We start from the raw sequence: 19091 nt of genomic DNA on the forward strand, positions 1-19091 counted from the left end.
GCTTGGAACCGGGACCTTAGCTACTGGTGGGGCTGAAGCCCACCCTGCCATTGTTCTGCCACGGTCAGTGGGGCTTGCTCCTCCCTATGGGAAGCACTTACGGCCGGGAGCGGGAATCCCGTCACCACCGCGGTGGGGAAGCCGCACGGAAATCCACGGGGTGCGGACGGTGCCATCTCCTGGAAGTTGGCCAGAGAACCCCACTCTGTCCGCAAATCGCTCTTATTTAATAACAACTATCATCGATTGTGATCCTAACCTGGGCCTCCTGCCTCCCAGGCAATACCCTTTTCCGCCTGGCGCGGCCTCTCTGACTCGAGTGGGGATGGGGAGCACCTTGTACATTTCAGAGGATCCTCCGGGCCTACAGGGAGAAGGGCCATCAGGCCTCAGCTCCCCAGGGTCTCTGCCAGTTCTTCTCTGCCTGTAGCCCTTATCTGGCTGCAGCCTCCACGCCTTCCCTGAGCCTGGCACCCTGTTAGCCCAGAGTGTTGTGGTAACTAGACCCGGTTGACAGAGGACATCATGCTTCTGGGTCGTGAGTGGACCCTGATATCTCGAGTCTCCTTCTTCAATAGACCCACAATGAGGGGCACCCTCCCCCTCCACCTCGCAACGACCATGCAGGGAGTACCGGCTGAGGTGCAAGTGGCCAATAGGAACGGTGAGACCCAGGCAGTGGGGGCAGCGGGACCCTCTGCACAGGTGTTGGGAACAGGACAATGTGCCCAGGCTGGACAGCACGGTCGGCACCCTGCAGCGCGCTGGAGGGCTGGACTGTCCGTCGGTGAATAGACGAGGAGAGCCTGGTCCTAGACGGGGAGTGGAACTCAAGCCTTGCTGAAGCAGATGGCTGCAGGCAAGCACCGCACACACAGGCAGCACAGGCTCTTCCTGGCTGAGTCCCCTGACCTGCTCCCGGGTGAAGTGTGAGGTCTGGCAAACACAGTGGCTTTCCCCCATTACCCCCACCCCACACCTAAACTGTTGAAGCTCAGGAAGCCTCAAAGCATGACAGAAGAAACATTTTTAATTGTTCTGGTCCTGCCCCATCACCAGGGGAGTCCCGGCACTGCTCAGGCTCACTGCTCTTGCTTTCCCCTGGGATGTCGAGGACACTTTGACCTCATCTATGTCATAGCCCATGTGTTTCTCAGATGCCACCGCCATAAGATCTAGTGCCCCCTGGTGCCATTGGGCAAGGCAGGCCAGAGAGGCCAGGGGCAGCTGGGTGTGCACCAGGCCACAGGGCTGTGGGGCATGCAGCCGATGGTGCAGCTTCAGGTGGATGTGCTGGGTGAAGCGACTCCGGCAGACACTGCACTGGAAGGGCCGGGCCCCGGAGTGCAGGCGCAGGTGGGTCTTGAGGTTACTGGAGCTGCTGAAGCGCTTGTGGCACACCTGACGGGAACGAGCACTGGCATCAGCTTTGTCCTCTGGGCTGGCTCAGGCATTCTACTCCCTCTCCTCATCTTGGAAATACCCATGACCCACCTCTCTTTCCCTCCAGGCCTGGAAGCTTTTCCAGTGATTTCTTCCTGGAACCCACGGTATCTAGCACATTAGAACCAGGCCAACTTGGGTTAGTGTCCTTTACTCCATGTGTGACCTTGTAAAAGTAACTTCTCCTCTCTGAGCCTTCCTCTCCTCATTGGTAACATTGGTTATTAATACCTAGCTTCATAGATATGGTGGACTGAATGAGATAATCACATAGAACTCTTAAGTATGAAGCTGCAGCTTCAGTAGATTGTAATGAACATTTACAGGGGGCTGCCACATGCCTGCAGTTGGTTTCATCTAGTCTTCCCCAGGACCCTAGGGAAGCATGACTAAGTATTAGTACAAGTCCTATATTATAGTAAGAAAGCAGAGTCTCAGAGGAGTGAAGCCACTAGCCAAAGGTCACACAGCAAGTTGAAGGCAGAGCTAGGATTTGAACACAGGTGGCCCGACTATGCAGCCCGGACTCATAATCATGGCACTGCTTTCATTTCTGCCCCTGTAAAATGGGAAAGAACCCCTGCCCTTCTGATTTCCCGAGGGATGTGGCCAGGCTCACAGAAGGAGGGAGCTGACATCAAGCTAATAGTTTTCCTACTTGGATACTCTGGGTACACTATAGCATTAACTCCTCCAATAACTCAGGGAGGTAGATAATGGGTATACATACACTCTCCATGACCTCCAACTTCATTGTTCTCTCCCTCCTGCAGGCCTTTGGAGTGACCTTCAGTATTACCCATTCCAGGCTGAGAGGAGTCATTTTCAATTTTCACTCCCCCTTCCCATCTCCACTTGCTCAGGAGGACTGGGGAATGGAGGCTGCAGGTGCCAGCCCTCCAAGGGCCTAAAACTCCTCTCCAGCCTATAGGAGTACATAGTAGGGGGAGAAGGATCTCACCGAGCACTTGTGGGGCCGCTCCCCAGTGTGCACCAGGTGGTGCTTCTGCAGGTGGGCAAGTTGAGTGAAGCTCTTCTGGCACAAGGCACACTGGAATGGACGCTCTCCACTGTGCACACGCAGGTGGACCTGAGTCAGATGCGGGATAAATGCTGCCAACTGCCCAGCACCCCTAGCAGGGCCTGAGGTCCTCTCCAAATCTCTGCCCACTTCTCTCTCCCTCCCCGTCATCTCCCTCAGGGCCCATCATCCCCAGGATACTCTACTCTTTCTGCTGCCCTGTAGGGGAGATGGCAGTGGTCAGAAGGCCAGGGGTAAGAGGTACCCCAGGTATATTGTGGAACACTGCTATTCAAAATGTGGTTCACAGACCAGCAGTGCTGGTATCACACTTTGGGAGCATGTTAGAAATGCAGGTTCTCAAGTCCGGCCCCAGACCTGCTGAATCAAAAACTCTGGGAGGGCTGGGCACACTCTCGTGGCTGTAATCCCAGCATTTTGGGAGGCCGAGGAGGGAGGATCAATGGAGCCCAGGAGTTCAATACCAGCCTGAGAAACACATTGGGACCCCGTATGCACAAAAAATTTGAAAGTTAACGAGGAGTGGTGGTGTTTACCCTTCGTCCCAGCTACCGGGGAGGATGAAGTGGGAGAATCCCTTAAGCCCAGGAGTTTGAGACCAGCGTGGGCGACAGAATGAGACTCCATATGGAAAAAAAAAAAAAAAAAAAAGATAACTCTGGGGCTGGGAGCTACTCTGGAGGCTGAGGTGGGAGGATCACAAAAACTCTAGGAATCTGCATGTTTACTAGCTCTCCAGGTGGTCTGAGGCTCATGAAAGTTTAAGAACTCCTGCCCTGCAGGATCCAGCAGGGCTTCTCCCCATAACCACAATGTGCCTTCAACTTCAGAACTAGCCAGAGAGCGCACAGTTTCCGCCCTTTGCTAACGCACTGAGATGCGCTCCCTGGGCGCCCCCTGCTGGGCGATGCGGATGGTGAGGCCAATCGCATCGGCGGTCGCGCAGATTTGTGGGATCCCACTTGAAAAAGGTTGGTCATCGGACTGTGGTCTAGACTCACCAAAATCTACCCATTCCCTCATCTGACTGCCCAAAAAAATAAATAAGAAGCTTAACTTGGAGTCCAGAAAGGATGGTTGTCCAGGTAAGGGCTTTCTTTGCCCAGAGCAAATGTTGAGAGACTAAACCTAACACTACCGTTAAATCGGGGTAATCTTAGGCAAACGCTGCCCATTAAAAGCCTCAGTCTCCCCATTTTAACCTAAATGAGACGATCTCATAGGCAGTCCTCTAGGGTGGCGAGGACTTTGGTGGCCGTCTTATCCGATATCTCCACCCAAATGAACCATCCAAGGTCACTTGGCCCTAGAGGTTGCCCAGGAGTGCCTTCTAGCTTTGAGGTCCTTGCTTCTAGAAGCAGACTCGGGTGCATGGGGGGCCCTGAAGGATGTTGAGGGGAGAAGCAGAGCCCAGGAGGCAGATACCTTGAGATTGGAGAGCTGCCCAAAGCTCTTGCCACATATGTTGCACTCGTACAGGATTTTGCCATTCTTCTTTTTCAGCGGGTAAGGCAAGGCTGCGGTGCCTGTCTGGGAACTCAATGGGACCCGCTTTGCTGGAGATGCCATGCCACCACGCTCCAGGCCTGGGGAGTCGGTTGGGGCAGCTCCAGCACCTGGATTTCGGGCCTGGGAAGGCAGAGCTTGGCCAGAGGCTTGGAAGGCCCCTGGGTAGGGAAGCAGGGTCTCCCACCGAGCGCTGGGGTGCCCCAGCTCATTGACCATCATCAGCAGGCTAGGCATAGCCATGGTGGGGTAGGAGGGGTCTTGGGGCAGCATGAGGAGGTGGGGACATTGGTCAGAAGGTAGGGCCCCATAGGTGAACAGGTGGGGTGGAGGCAGGAGAAGTGGGTATCCAGGGTAGAAGGCGTGGAGGAGAAATGGGAGCTCCTTGGAGATGGAGTTGACAGGGGGACAGGGGCAGAAAGCCAAGGGGCTGGGGCTCTTTCTGTTCTGCAGCGGTGGTGGGGAAGAGCTGTTATGAGAGGAGAAGGCTGGGCAGGGGGCCCCCTCGCCAGCTCTTTCTGGCTGTTTTCCCAGCTTGTCCTTGTTCTGTGGGTACTTGACTGTGAATTTCTTGTCATCGGTGGAGCTGGCCTGCAGCCCTGGTGGCTCGTGCTCTAAGCAGGAAAAGGAAGGCGGTCAGATCCCCACAGTCTGGGGTGAAGTTCTGTCCGCCATCAAACCTGCCCTGCTCGGGGCTGAGAAAGACCTCCAGCCTGCGAGCCTGCTAGCATTTCTGTAGTGCTGAACAATTTCAGGGGGAGAAAGCAGTTCAAGGTCCCTATTAGACACCCAGGTTGAGAAGCCAAGTGGGCAGATGGATAAACTGGGTTGGAGTTTAAAGGAGAGGTCTGAACTGGAGACATAAATCCAGGTGCCATGGGCACAGATAAGATCACATAAGGGTGAGGCTAGATCTGCTATGTCCGAAATGGCAGCCACTGGATGCATGACTAGATTTACATTAATTACAATGATTCTAATAAAAAATGAAGTTCTCAGTTGCACCAGTCACATTTACAGTGCTCAGCAGGTATAGTATTGGACAGCACAGGTATAGAATGTTCCCATTATTGCAGGGAGTTCTACCAAACAGTGCTATTCTAGATAAAGAGTACTAAAATAAAAAACCTGTTAAAAAATAAACTGTCAGCCAGGTGCAGTGGCTCATGCCTATAATCCCAGTGCTTTGGGAGGCTGAGGCAGGAGGATTGCTTAAGCCTAGGAATTTGAGACCAGCCTGGGCAACAAAGCAAAATCCCATCTCTACAAAACAATAAGAAAATTAAGGCTGGGCACGGTGGCTCACGCCTGTAATCCCAGCACTTTGGGAGGCCGAGGCGGGAAGATCACCTGAGGTTGGGAGTTCAAGACCAGCCTGACCAACATGGAGAAACCCCGTCTCTACTAAAAAGGCAAAATTAGCTGGGCATGGTGGCACATGCCTGTAATCCCAGCTACTTGGGAGGCTGAGGCAGAAGATTCACTTGAACCCGGGAGGCAGAGATTGCGGTGAGCCGAGATCATGCCATTGCACTCCAGCCTGGGCAACAAAAGCGAAACTCTGTTTCAAAAAAAAGAAAGAAAGAAAGAAAGAAAATTAGCTGGGTGTTTGTGGCATGTGTCTGTAGTAGTCCCAGCTACCCAGGAGGCTGAGGAGAGAGGATTGCTTGAGCCCAGGAGTTGGAGGCTGCAGTGAGCCATGATTGTGTCCCTGCACTCCAGCCTATCTCAAAAAAAAAAAAAAAAAAAAAAAGCAAGTTGTCTTCTGGTTGGATCCTTATTTATTTACTCAATCAATCTCACTGAGCCGTTTCACTCTGTGCTCTGTGCTGGGGTCCTAGAAATAAAGGACACAGCAAGAGAGTCCTTGCCTTCAGGGGGTCATCGTCACATAAGGAAATGGTGTGTTACAACAAACCTAGAACCCAGGCAGAGATGAGATCACACTTTTATGGATGAAGAAACCAGACCTTGGTGTTGTGTCCAAGTCCATAGAAATAGAAAGGGCAGAACCGAGACTCCAACCCCAATTCCCTGACTCCCAGCCCAGTGCTTTTTTTTTGAGATGGAGTCTCGCTCAGTCGCCCAGGCTGAGTGCAGTGGTGCCATCTCGGCTCACTGCAAGCTCCGCCTCCCAGGTTCATGCCATTCTCCTGCCTCAGCCTCCTGAGTCGCTGGGACTACAGGCACCTGCCACCACCCCCCAGCTAATTTTTTGTATTTTTAGTAGAGATGGGGTTTCACCGTGTTAGCCAGGATGGTCTCGATCTCCTGACCTCGTGATGTGCCCGCCTCAGCCTCCCAAAGTGCTGGGATTACAGGCATGAGCCACCGTGCCCGGCCTCCAGTACTTTTATAAGATCCCTCTAGGGCTGGGCACAGTGGCTCACATCTATAATTCCAGCACTTTGGGTCACCGAGGCAGGTGGATCACCTGAGGTCAGGAGTTCGAGACCAGCCTGGCCAACATGGCAAAACCCTGTCTTTACTAAAAATACAAAAATTAGCCGGGGGTGGTGGCGCACACCTGTAATCCCAGCTACTCCGAGAGGCTGAGGCAGGAGAATCGCTTGAACCTGGGAGGCAGAGGTTGCGGTGACTGGAGATCATGCCATTGCACTCCAGCCTGGGCAACAGAACGAGACTCCATCTCAAAAACAAACAAACAAACAAAAAACACCTCTCTAAGCAGACAAAGCACCATCCCCAACCCCCATGACCTTGGCTATACCTACATCAGCTCCCACACACATGCCTGAGAAGCCAGTGCCCAGCTTCTCTGGCTTAGGTATCACCACTCGAAAGCCCCCTGCACCCTCAGGCCAGAACTCCAAGGCCAAAATGTGGAAGTAAAGTGTGCCTAAGCTCTGTCTTCATCAGTGACACTGCGTCCTCTCCACCACCCATCCCCAAACCTAGCAGTGCCCCCCACCCTCCAGCCTCTGCCAGGCGCAGGTGCAGCCCGGTGCCCTGGGCTTACTCATGCTCAAGGCGTCCTCTTGGAGGCCCTGCAGGTCTGTGCCCAGGGGTGCCGGCTGTGGGGTGCACAGGTTCAGGTCCAGGTCCTGTAGGCAGGCCAGCAGTGCAGACCTGCCCGGTGCCAGGGGCAAGGGACACAGCCAGCTGGCACAGGATGGGCCATGAGCATCCACCATGTCTGGAAGTGGTCTGCAGGCTGAGAAGACCTGGAGGGCAGGGGCAAGGGGCTTGGGGGCTGGTGACTGGGACTCCATGGGTCCCTTAGATGGCCCCTACCCCTATTTTGTTTTCCAAAGGGGAGAATAAGCTAAAACAGCCACCACACTCCATATCTGTCACTCAAATGGCATCTCTTCCCTCATCCAAAGATCTCTTTCCCCCAGGATTTTCCCACCCACCACAAGATTGCCCTCCTCCTGTCCCCAGGGCCCTCTCTAGCCCTGTTCTCCCTCCCTGCCCCGAACCCATGTACCTCTGACCACCCTGGTCCCCAGTGTATCTCAGACCATCACTGTAATTTGAATGGCACCAAGTTGAGCACAAAGAAAATCCCCATCAAAGACTATAAACTCCACAAGATGGCCCTGAGCCCCTGCTCACTAAGGCCCAAGGCCATGGTCATAGCAGCCAAGCCTACTGCACGAGGCTTCCGCTTCTTATTCCCCACAGGAGAGTCTGGGCCCCTGAGGCATGGGGAGAGGGTGTCTGGCTCCTCAAAGAAACATCCCTATGATGTGCCTGGGATAGGGGGTGCTCAGACTGGGAAGGAGATCTAGGTCCCTTCAGACGTTCCCCTTTTTCCTCCTAATGTCACCTCCTACTATAAGCAGACTACCCACAAAGGTAAGGCTGGGGTTCTACCTTACCTGGTCACCTCGGAAGAGCTGGAAGTCCAGGCTGGGGGACAGGGAGCCCCCTGTACCTCCCAGGGCCATGGGCCTATGACAACAACCTAATTGTGCAGCTGATTCTTCCTTCATATCCCCATTACCTGCTGGGAAACAGGTGAGTTAGAGGTAAGCTGTGAAGGTCCTCCAAATAGGAGTCTGAGTTCTAGGACTGGCTCTCCCATTAACATGCTGCATGACCACAAGTTATTCATGTCCCTTCCTGGACTCAGTTTCCCTATCCGCAAAATGGGAAGGTTGGTCTAGTTGATGCGTAAGGATTCTCTCAATGTTGACATTTAGAAGCCAGTGATGCTCTCCTGGTGGGTGTGGGAAGATTAAATAGAGATTGGCCAGGTGCCGTGGCTCAAGCCTGTAATCCCAGCACTTTGGGAGGCTGAGAAGGAAGGATCTTTTGAGGCCAGGAGTTCTAGACCAGCCTGGGCAACATAGTGAGACCCCCATCTCTACAAAATAAAAAATATGGTGGGCGGGGTGGCTCAGGCCTGTAATCCCAGCACTTTGGGAGTCCAAGGCGGTTGGATGACCTGATGTCAGGAGTTCAAGACTAACCTCGGCAACATGGTGAAACCCTGTCTCTACTAAAAATACAAAAATTAGCCAGTCACGGTGGTGCATGCCTATAATCCCAGCTACTCAGGAGGCCAAGGCACAAGAATCACTTGAACCTGGGAGGTGGAGGTTGCAGTGAGCCAAGATCGTGCCACTGCATTCAAGCCTGGGCAACAGAATGAGACTCCTTCTAAAAATAAAATAAAATAAATAAAAAAATAAAAAATAAAAGGGAGACCCAGGCAGATGGATCACCTGAGGTCAGGAGTTCGAGACCAGCCTGGCTAACATGGTGAAACCCCCATCTCTACTAAAAATCCAAAAATTAAAATTAGACCAGGTGCGGTGGCTCATGCCTGTAATCCCAGCACTTTGGGAGGCTGAAGCGGGCGGATCACCTGAGGTTGGGAGTTCAAGACCAGCCTGACGAACATGGTGAAACCTCGTCTCTACCAAAACTACATAAATTAGCCGGGTGTGGTGGCGCACGCCTGTAATCCCAGCTACTCAGGAGGCTGAGGCAGGAGAATCGCTTGAACCCGGGAGGCAGAGGTTGCAGTGAGCCAAGATAGCACCACTGCATTCTAGCCTGGGTGACAGAGCAAGACTTTGTCTCCAAAAAAAAAAAATTAGCTGAGTGTGGTGGCTCACACCTGTAGTCCCAGCTACTAGGGAGGCTGAGGCAAGAGAATCGCTTGAACCCAAGAGGCGGAGGTTGCAGTAGCCGAGATCATGTCACTGCACTCCAGTCTGAGCAACAGAGTGAGACTCGGTTCAAAAATAAATAAATAAATTAGCTGGGTGTAGTAGCCTGTGCCTGTGGTCCCAGCTACTTGGGAGGCTGAGGTGGGAAGATTGCTTGAGCCTGGAAGGTTGTGGCTGCAGTGAGCTGAGATCACACCACTACACTCTAGCCTGGGCGAGGATAGAGCAAGACCCTGTCTCAATCAATCAATCAATCAATCAATCAATGGAGATTAGCCAATCAGAAGTGAAGAGCAGAGCTCTCCTGAGAGGAGAGGAAGGCCCTCACGGAGCTTACTTCCAAGTAAGTGCAGAGATCTGAGGGAACATTCCAGATTCCTCAGGGCTACAAAGAAGCCACCCCCTTCTGTGCTGAGAGGGGTCCCTGACTCTACCAACCAGAGGCCCCCCACCAAGGGGAATCCTGCATCCTAGCTCACCCAGATAGCTCTTCTGGACAGCTGAGGACACCTCAGTGTCGTGTCACCCAGGCTGCCCAGCTCAGCGCTCTCACCAGGAATAAAGCCTGAATGAGTGGACCAAGCCCCCGGATGCCCCTGACTGGCCTGACAGAGAGACGCGAGTGCCCAGCTGTCTGCTCATCCAGCACCAGGCTTCTCTGCCATCTTCCACCTGAGGCCACACAGCACAGGGAACACTTCAGCCCAGCAAATGCCCCAAGACCCCTTCCCCGTCACCTCAGGGACCACTCTTTGAATCCCAAATGCCCCTCAGACCCTAAGACCCTCACTCCAGTGTCTCAGCCCTCTAAAACCCCTTCTCCTTTCCCTCTTTCCTCACTCCTCCCAACGCTGCTTCAGGTCTCAAAGCAAATACCATGGACCCCCGAAGGGCTGCTGGCTGTGGGGCTCTCCACTCGGTGCTGCAGCAGTGCTCCTGGCTGGGAAGGAAGGAGGTGGGCAGCCAGGCCACAGCTGCCTGTGGCTGAGGCCCCAGTGGGAGTGAGAGATGGCAGGAAGGTGTTACATTTGAAGTTGCCACAGATAGGAAGTGGGGGCAGGCAGGCTTGGGGGCCCTGCAAGGTCTGACAAGGGGGCACTATCCACTCAGCTTTGCCTACCTGTGGCAACTCTGGAGGACAACCTGCTGATGTGGATTGCAGTGAACTGGGGCTACTGGAATTTCAGGATGTGTGTGTGAGGGGGGCGGGCTGTTATTTCTGTTCTCAAAGTACCCAGATGGCTGGACGGGAGGACAGAGTAGGGCTCAAAGGCTGAACAGGGGAGCCTTCTGTGGAGGGGAGCCAAGCTGAGATGAAGATAGGCATTGATGATGACAGGGAGACAGTGATGGTGACAGGTAGGGACAGGAACAGGCAGAGACAAGAACAGGCAACATAGAAGGATATGGAATGAGACAGAGGACAGAGAAGGCAGCTGATCTCACAGAGATACAGCAAACACGTTTTCCTCCTCCAAGTCCCATCTCAGATCTCCTGACCCTGGAAAGTTCTATCCTCTAATCTAGAGGCCCCAAGAGGCAAAAGATAATTCAAGCACATGGCCAGGTGAAGTGGCTCACATCTGTAATCCCAGCACTTCAGGAGACCAAGGCAGACCCATCTCTTGAGCCCAGGAGTTTGAGATCAGCCTGGGCAACAAAGCAAGACCTCATCTCTACAAAAAATACAAAACTTAGCTGGGCATGGTGACTTGCACCTCTGGTCCCAGCTACTCAGGAGGCTGAGGCAGGAGGATCACTTGAGCCCAGGAATATAAGGCTGCAGTGAACTAGGATATTGCCACTGCACTCTAGCCTGGGTGACAGAGAAAGACCCTGTCTCTTTAAAAAAAAAAAAAATAGACATAGCAAAATGGGTGTAAGGCATGACTAGGCCAGGTGTGGTGGCTCACATCTGTAATCCCAGCACTTTGGGAGGCTGAGGTGGGCCAACTGCTTGAGCCCAGGAGTTCAAGACCAGCATGAGCAACATGGTGAAACACCATCTCTACAAAAAATACAAAAATTAGCCAGGCATGGTAGCGCATGCCTGTTGTTCCAGCTACTCAGGAGGCTGAGGTGGGAGGATCACTTGAGCCAGGGAGGTCGAGACTGCAGTGAGCTGAGATCATGCCACTGCACTCCAGCCTGGGTGACAGAGCGAGACCCTGTCTTAAAAAAAGTTAATAAATAAGGAAAAGACATGTCTAGATACAAAAAGGGAGACCTCATAGGCCAGAAAGTGGCTTTTTAGCCTGAGCAATGTCATTATTCTTGTGAGCATGAGAAGAGGCATCACCCCTGCGGCCTTACACAAATTCTGGTGTGCGTGAGTCTGGCCCAGGGTGCAAAAGCCCCAACCAGCCATCAATCTGCACCCCAGCCACGCCACCCTGGTGTCCCAGAATATACAGGGACATCTCAGGCTGTGCACCATGGGCTGGGGCATGTTCCTGGGGTTTCTCTGCCAGCTCAGCCCCTAGGGCTGTGACTCATCCTCCACATAACTGATCCCAACATGTTTGTGAGCATCTCAAGGACAGGGTCCTCTGTCTACTCATTTTGGTTTTCCATGTAGACATCTGTCAGGTTTTTTTGGACGCCCAGCCTCTGAAACTTTTCCCCTACATGAGTCTTGAGGGAGGCAAAAGGTACCTCCCATTATAAAAGCCGAAATGGCCAAATACTTAATTCCAACCTCCCTCACCAGCACTTCATGCAGGCATACATGGACTAGGTCGATCAGATGTCCCCACCCAGAAGGGGTGACCCGCACACCTTTGGCTTCCATCTGCCAGCTCTGCCCTCTCCTGGCATCACACTCTGCTCCCAACTCTCAGAACACCTTGCACAACTTCTCTGTTAGAAAAAAATAAAAACTACTTCCCCTCTATCCGCACTTCCCAACCTACTCTGGTGATCATGGGCTTTCCTTGGCTTGGGTCTCTGGTCTGGGTCAAGGCATCTGCTCAGGTTCCTCAGTTAGAAGACCATGGTCCTCCCTTTGTGCTACCTCCCCAGGGCATGTGGGACAAAGTGACATCACATTTAGGCCTGTGACATCACAGGGCATGGAGGCTGACAAGACAGATGATCTGGGAGACGAGAGCAAGGAAGGGCTTGGCAGGCAGAGGCTGCTCCATGTGGGAACCTGAGGGAGTCTGTCTTAGCCCACCTCCTGGGACATTTCCTTGCCAAGCCGAGTCTTGTGAGCATGAGAAGAGGCATAACCCCTGTGGCCTCACACAAATTCTGGTGTGCGTGAGTCTGGCCCAGGGTACAAAAGCCCCAAGCAGCCATTAATCTCCACTGCAGCCCAGTAGACTAGCAGATCAGAAGCTAGTGCCACTGGCTGAGCGCAGTGGCTCACGCCTGTAATCCCAGGACTTTGGGAGGCCGAGGCGGGCAGATCACTTGAGGTCAGGAGTTCAAGACCAGCCTGGCCAACATGGTGGGACCCCATCTCTACAAAAATACAAAAATTAGCCAAGTGTGGTGGCACGTGCCTGTATTTCCAGCTACTTGGGAGACTGAGGCAGGAGAATTGCTTGAACCCGGGAGGCGGAGGTTGCAGTGAGCTGAGATGGCTCTGCTACACTCCAGGCTGGGCAACAGAGTGAGGCTCCATCTCAAAATAAAATAAAATACAATAAAAAAAGCCACTGGTCCTGAGGTGGCAGGTCTGTGGAAACTCCTCTCTACAACAAAGGCTGTGGTACCACATCCGGCTTCCAGGGCAGTGAAGGAAAGAAGGGGGTTCAGGGGAGGCTGCAGAATCTGTGCAGGGCTGGTCCTGGGGTGTGATATTTGGCCATGGTCCTGTCTACTTCCAGCCTCCCTTGATCCATCCTATTCTCCAAGCCTTGCTCTCCAGCCTTCTCAGACCTCCTGCGAGCTTTTCTAACATCTTTTAAACAAATTCCTTCTGCTTAACTCCTCCTGAAATGGTTTTTGTAGCTTACAACTGATAATTCTGCATTATACATGCCCAGAATAGAAGATAAAGTAACAGGGTTCCAGCTGGAATTGTCCAAGGAACAGAGTAAATAGCCACCTTTACAAACAGCTTTCTTGCTGTGTCTGGCACTGTGCTAGGGGCTTCATAAACTTTATCTCATTTAGTCTTCACAATAAGCCTGTGTGGTGGATTTTATTATTAGCAGCTCATCCAGAGTCACACAACAAGTAGCCAAGAGCTCTTTAGTGGTAAACCTCAGACTCTGCCATCTCTTGGCCATGTCAGCTTCCCCCACTACGACAGCCACCCCCTCATTTCTTTCTTTCTTGCTCTCTCTTCCCACATGCTGTTCCCAGTCCTTCCCCCAACTCCTCAGTGGCCCCCTCAGTATCCTTCAGCGTAATGGAGGGGCTTAGTTCACCAAAACTCTACTCCCTAAAAGGAAGAGCCCTCTCAGACCCCCAGGCCACAAGCCCGCCTCCCCTGCTGTCTTGCTGGGAATCACAGGGAAGTGAGGGGCACCGAGTGAAGTTTCCTCCCCTCCAAGGCACTTCCCCACACACCTTTGGCTTCCATCTGCCAGCTGTGCTCCCTCCTGGCATCACACTCTGCTCCCAGCTCTCAGAACACTTTGCACAACCTCTCTGTTAGAAAAAAATAAAAAAGGAAATGGCCTTGGAGATTTCCAGGTCTCCAATCCTGAAAGCTCCCTGGCTTGGCTAGGAAATGCCCCAGGAGGTGGGCTGAGGACAGACTCCCTCAGGTTCCCACGTGGAGAAGCCTCTGCCTGCCAAGCCCTTCCTTGCTGTCATCTCCCAGATCATCTGTCTTGTGTCATCCATGCCCTGTGATGTCACAGGCCTAAATGTGATGTCACTTTGTCCCACATGCCCTGGGGAGGTAGCACAGAGGGAGGACCATGGTCTTCTAACTGAGGAACCTGAGCAGATGCCTTGACCCAGACCAGAGACCCAAGCCAAGGAAAGCCCATGATCACCAGAGTGGGTTTGGGAAGTGCGGACAGAGGGGGAGTAGGGAGCTGACTCCAGGTGCAAGGGGCACATTCGGGAGGCCTCTGAAGAGGAGGTGCCTCCACATTAGGGGACAAGAGCTGGAGGGGCTGGGTCCTTGGGCTCCCGGTGCTCACTGCACACTTTCTTCTTCCTTTCGTTAGTTGCAAAATAATACATACTAGTGGTAAACATTTCAAACAACAGAAAATGTAAAAACGAAAAATGGAAGCTCCTCCTCCTTCGCAATTTCCCAGTGGTCAATGTGAATTGTTTAGTGTTTACCCTTCCAGACATTTTTCTATGAACCAACAAACAGGTAAATTGATTTTTTTAATTGCTTTTTTTTTTCCTAAGGAATGAAGTGACTTATTGAAAATGAAAGTACACTCTGCAGTGTGGGAGCAGGCCTGAGCATAGGGGCTCAAAGGCCCCATTACAGAGTTTTTGAGAGTTTAAATACCTTCTGCTTGTGGTACGCCCTATGTAAATGAAGAGAATGAAGTAAAGTTACAATGTCATGTACTCAGGGAGAAGCTATTTCCTGTCAGAGCTGAAGTGTGAATTGGCCTTATGTTTCCTGCCTCCAGCCCCTATTTTCCTGCCTCATCTCCCCGCTAAGAGATGTGATTGTGGTCCCCGTAAATCTTCACGGGAGGCAGAGGGACCGATGGTCTTTTTCCTGGGACTGCTTCATGCTGGCATGGGGCGTAGTCCCTACTTATTGGGGATCATGGAACCCTCACCTTGTTCTGTCTAGTGGAGGCAGGGTAGCTTCTTGATGGCCAGGGGTGGTGTCTTCACCTGGACTGGCTGGAGCCTTTGTTGCATGATCATCTGAAGCTTGATGGCCTCCTTTTGCTGGTATGCCAGGTTTCTGGGCTCTCTTTCCCTGAGCGGCCCTTCCTCCGGGCTGGCTGGCCAAAATATGTCACTGGTGGGGGGTGTCCAGGTTCTTGGCATCTTGAACAAAGAATTGGACAAAAAGCAGAAACAAAGCAACGAAGAAATGAAGGGATTTATTGAAAATAAAGTACACTCCACAGTGTTGGAGTGGGCCTGAGCATAGGGGCTGAAAGGCTAAATTGTGTTTTATACAAACATGGGAATATATTGATGCACATTGCTCTTCCGGGTTTTCTTTTCTTTTCTTTTCTTTTTTTTTTTTTTTGAGACAGAATCTGACTCTGCCTCCCAGGTTGGAGTACAGTGGTGTGATCTTGGCTCACTAGCAACCTCTGCCTCCTGGGTTCAAGCAATTCTCCTGTTCAAGCTGGGACTACAGGCATGCGCCACCAAGCCCAGTTAATTTTTTTGTATTTTTAGTAGAGACGGGGTTTCACCACATTGGCCAGGCTGGTCTCAAACTCCTGACCTCAAGTGATCCACCCACCTTGGCCTCCCAAAGTGCTGGATTACACTTTGGGAGCCACCATGCCCAGTCTCTTCTGGGTTTTCTAATAATCCATTGTGGGCATCATTTCATGCCCTGAACATACCTATCTGCCTCCTGCTTTTTCCTGACTATATAATGTTCCATTGCAGGGTTGTGCTTAATATGTAGCCTTCCCCTGTTGGTGGACATACGGGTGGGATCCAATTTTCCCCTTTCTACACAAGGCTGGAAAAGACCTCCAGACAGAGTCAGTATGCGGAATGGTTAAGAATACGAGCTCTGCTGGATTTAATCCCAACTGGGTAAACTTATGGCAAATCACTTAACCTCTCTGTGCATCTTTCCTCATCTGTCAAATGGAGATAATAATAGCACTTGCCTCATAGAATTATTTCCAGGTTTCCTCAAGATAATCCATGTAAAGCCCTTAGGATGGTGCCTGGCCCAAAGCAAGCACTTGACCAATGTGGATGACTATATTGTACATTACCCTTTACCTAGTTAGGCAAGCATCTGCAAGTCAGCTTCTTAAAAGTGTTAAAATTTTGATGGTTATTCCTGACCCATTTTGGAAGATCGAAATTTGGGCAGCACAATTGGAGAGATTAACTACATTTAGTTTTCTTGCTTTATTTATTGACCCTTCCCTGGTTGGGGATCATTGCTCTCATTCAATGCAGTCTTCTCCTACCCCATCCACACACCACAATAATAATAGCTCTTGGCATGGGAGCCCTCATTATATGCCAGGAACCATGCAAAGCCATTCCACACGCTTTGTCTCACTGGATCAGCAGAGTGACTCTGGGAGATGAATGCCATTATTCCCATTTTAGAGGCAAGAAAACTGACACTCAGATAAGGAAAATGACTCACTTAAGATCAGATGACCTGGCTGGGCGTGGCTCATGCCTGTAATCCCAGCACTTTGGGAGGCCGAGGCGGGTGGATCACCTGAGGTCAGGAGTTCAAGACCAGCCTGGCCAACATGGTGAAACTTTGTCTCTACTAAAAATACGAAAATTAGCCGGGCATGGTGGTGGGTGCCTGTAATCCCAGCTACTTGAGAGGTTGAGGCAGGAGAATCGCTTGAACCTAGGAGGCGGAGGTTGCAGTGAGCTGAGATCGTGCCATTGCACTCCAGCCTGGGAGACAAGAGCAAAACTCAGTCTCAAAAAAAAAAAACCAAAAAACACCACATGACCCCAAAGTGGAAAGCATAGAAACAGAGAGTAGAAAGGTCTTTACCAGGGGCAGGGGCCTGGGGTGTAAGGGAAATGGGAGATGAAGGTCAAAGGGTACAAAGTTGCAGTTACTTAGAATGAATAAGTCTAGAGCTGTAACATACAGCATGAGGATTATAGTTAGTAATATTATATAGTAGACATTTGCTAAAAGTAATTTTAGGTACTTTTACCGCACACACACACAAAAGGTAACTGTGAGGTGATGGATGTGTTAAATTGCTTGACTGTAGTAATCACTTTACTGAGCATATGTGTATCAAAACATCATGTTGTAGATCTTAAATATATACAATTTTAAAAGAAACACATGACCCAAGTTGAGGTTGTAAGTCCCAGAGGTGAGGGAGAGCTTAGGGAAGACTTTCCAGGCATTTGAAGAAGTAAAAAGTGCCACAAATATGTTTGGTAGAAGGGGCTCCCAGAAAAATTAAGACAAACAGAGGCCATCTTGAAACGAGCTGCAGAATTAGCATCTGGTACCCTGCAAGAACGTCATTCATTCACATATTTATTTGCCTTTTCTTTCTTCCTTCCTTTCTTTCTTTCTTTCTTTCTTTCTTTCTTTCTTTCTTTCTTTCTTTCTTTCTTTCTTTCTTGTTGTATTTTGGTAGAGACAGGGTCTGGCTGTGCTGACCAGGCTAGTCTCAAACTCCTGCCCTCAAACAGCCTCCCAAAGTAATTCACATATTTATTAATTACCAGCTATGTGTCAGGCATTGGACTATTTTCTGGGAATACAGCCCATAGAAATATGACTCAGACCTTGGAATTACATTCCGGCTATCAAGAAGCTTGCTGGATGTTGTGAAATGGAAAGTAATGTACATCTGAGCTTATTATTAGGAGGGTAGGGGCTGGAGGAGCAAAGTAGAACTGGGGGTGGGGTTGGCTGACTCATGCACCAAGAAAGGGAGACAACGGAACCACAGCCAGAAGCCCCACTTCCTCCCTGAAAACCTTAAAAACTTCTTCAACCCATATCCATTGCCACCTCCAACCTTGAGGCCAGCCAGCTGACTTCCCAGTCAGCTCAGCACATGGGTCCAGGACCTCTGTCACATGGACACTTTTGAGAGGCACCAGGTAAGGACCCCAGGTCAGGAAGGGATCTGGGACGTCACTGGCTTAGAGGTTAAGCAGCTGTAGGGTGTGCCTCCACAGGCAGAGCTGAGGGTGGGGCTGACAGTGCTCTTGCCTGGCTCTGCTCTGTGGTTGACACCTCCCTCCCTCTGCCTGACACCCACATGCTTATCTCCCCAGACAGCCCAGCTGTCAGTCTGTCAGATGCATTTGAGTTGGCCCTTGGCTTCACACCCCAAGGTGGGGAAGAGATCTTGAGTTAAGGCGTGCCTGCTCTTACATTTGCAGAAGGGGCCTACAGACACTCTTGCGTCTTCCCCTGCACCCATCTGTGACCTTCCAATCCTTCTGTGGGTAAAATTGCAGATGCATCTTCAAATGATATCCAAGGTCATGCCACTTATCCTCAACCATTCCAAGAGAATAGGAGACAAGAGGTCACCTTGCTTGGATTCAAATCCAGCAGAGCTAATGTAATCTGAGCCACTGTGCAAAACTGCCCACCATGTACATGTATGTCCTTTCCAGCCTGGTGTGGAACGGGGCAAAATTAAAGTCCACCTATATGTCTACCATTAGAGGAAAGCTACATATTATGTACATCCATGCATCAGAATACTATGCAGCCAGGAAAAAGCAGGAGGTAAATTTACTCAATGCCTCCTACATGCCAAATCTCTTTATGATCATCTTATTTAATCGTCCTCAAAATTCTCCAAGTTGGCCAGGCATGGCGGCTCACACCTGTAGTCCAAACAATTTGAGAGGCCAAGGTGGGAGGATAGCTTGAGCCCAGGAGTTTGAGACCAGCCCGGGCAACATAGCAAGACCCCCTTCCCTACAAAAAATAACTAGGCATGATGGCATGGGCCTGTAGTTCCAGCTACCTGGGAGGCTGAGGCAGGAGAATTGCTTGAGCCCTGGAGGTCAAGGCTGTAGTGAGCCATGATTGTGCCTGCCACTGCACTCCAGCCTGGGCAACAGAGTGAAACTTTATCTCAAAAAAAAAAAAAAAAAAAAAAAAAAACTCTCCAAGGTAGGAATTTTTAATGTCTCCATTTTATGGATGAGCAGACAAGACTCAGCAAGGGTATACCAGGTAGTATCAACTCAAATGCCTACAGTGGCCATGTAGTTAACATAAAGTGATCCAAGAATAAGTATGATAAAATTGTTTCCTGACACTCAGTCTTGGTTTCAAGCTTCCAACAGGGAAGGGTTGGGACTGAGGCAAACCAGAGAGCATGGTCCATTCTTAAAGATCA

The 19091-nt window shown here is 51.1% G+C and overlaps 1 protein-coding gene across 12 annotated transcripts, besides 7 other annotated features; it reads right to left on the reverse strand.

Moving 5' to 3' along the window:
• On the reverse strand, positions 1013-13897 carry ZNF683 (zinc finger protein 683). Of its 12 annotated transcripts, XM_006710555.4 has the most exons (8): positions 13657-13897; positions 11914-11994; positions 7837-7964; positions 6972-7176; positions 3911-4605; positions 2405-2533; positions 1495-1554; positions 1013-1401 (listed from the first exon to the last, which is right to left on the reverse strand). In XM_006710555.4, exons 2-8 carry the CDS (start codon positions 11924-11926, stop codon positions 1030-1032), a joined length of 1602 nt encoding a protein of 533 aa, XP_006710618.1. In that variant the 5' UTR covers positions 11927-11994; positions 13657-13897; the 3' UTR covers positions 1013-1029. The 12 variants fall into 12 exon arrangements, with proteins under 12 accessions (XP_006710618.1, XP_005245885.1, XP_016856443.1 ...); XM_005245828.4 differs by lacking the exon at positions 11914-11994 and having other exon boundaries at positions 7837-7961; XM_017000954.3 differs by lacking the exon at positions 11914-11994.
• Positions 1050-1749: an enhancer, noted in NCBI's record as "H3K4me1 hESC enhancer chr1:26688162-26688861 (GRCh37/hg19 assembly coordinates)". NCBI's record gives its function as "activates a minimal SCP1, AML or CMV promoter by ChIP-STARR-seq in primed H9 embryonic stem cells {active_cell/tissue: H9 hESC(primed)}" and the evidence as "EXISTENCE:reporter gene assay evidence [ECO:0000049][PMID:30033119]".
• Positions 1291-1441: a silencer, noted in NCBI's record as "fragment chr1:26688403-26688553 (GRCh37/hg19 assembly coordinates)". NCBI's record gives its function as "represses an EF-1alpha promoter that drives an FKBP-Casp9 reporter gene in an ReSE screen in HepG2 liver carcinoma cells {active_cell/tissue: HepG2}" and the evidence as "EXISTENCE:reporter gene assay evidence [ECO:0000049][PMID:32094911]".
• Positions 3414-3483: an enhancer, noted in NCBI's record as "active region_499". NCBI's record gives its function as "activates an Ori minimal core promoter by ATAC-STARR-seq in GM12878 lymphoblastoid cells {active_cell/tissue: GM12878}" and the evidence as "EXISTENCE:reporter gene assay evidence [ECO:0000049][PMID:35858748]".
• Positions 3619-4120: an enhancer, noted in NCBI's record as "H3K4me1 hESC enhancer chr1:26690731-26691232 (GRCh37/hg19 assembly coordinates)". NCBI's record gives its function as "activates a minimal SCP1, AML or CMV promoter by ChIP-STARR-seq in naive H9 embryonic stem cells {active_cell/tissue: H9 hESC(naive)}" and the evidence as "EXISTENCE:reporter gene assay evidence [ECO:0000049][PMID:30033119]".
• Positions 4121-4620: an enhancer, noted in NCBI's record as "H3K4me1 hESC enhancer chr1:26691233-26691732 (GRCh37/hg19 assembly coordinates)". NCBI's record gives its function as "activates a minimal SCP1, AML or CMV promoter by ChIP-STARR-seq in naive H9 embryonic stem cells {active_cell/tissue: H9 hESC(naive)}" and the evidence as "EXISTENCE:reporter gene assay evidence [ECO:0000049][PMID:30033119]".
• Positions 17417-18310: a transcriptional cis regulatory region, noted in NCBI's record as "candidate enhancer chr1.3775 targeted for multiplex CRISPR interference". NCBI's record gives its function as "positively regulates LIN28A gene expression in K562 cells {active_cell/tissue: K562}" and the evidence as "EXISTENCE:mutant phenotype evidence [ECO:0000015][PMID:30612741]".
• Positions 17633-17842: an enhancer, noted in NCBI's record as "active region_500". NCBI's record gives its function as "activates an Ori minimal core promoter by ATAC-STARR-seq in GM12878 lymphoblastoid cells {active_cell/tissue: GM12878}" and the evidence as "EXISTENCE:reporter gene assay evidence [ECO:0000049][PMID:35858748]".

This window comes from Homo sapiens, chromosome 1, assembly GCF_000001405.40.
Source record: "Homo sapiens chromosome 1, GRCh38.p14 Primary Assembly".
NCBI lineage: Eukaryota > Metazoa > Chordata > Mammalia > Primates > Hominidae > Homo > Homo sapiens.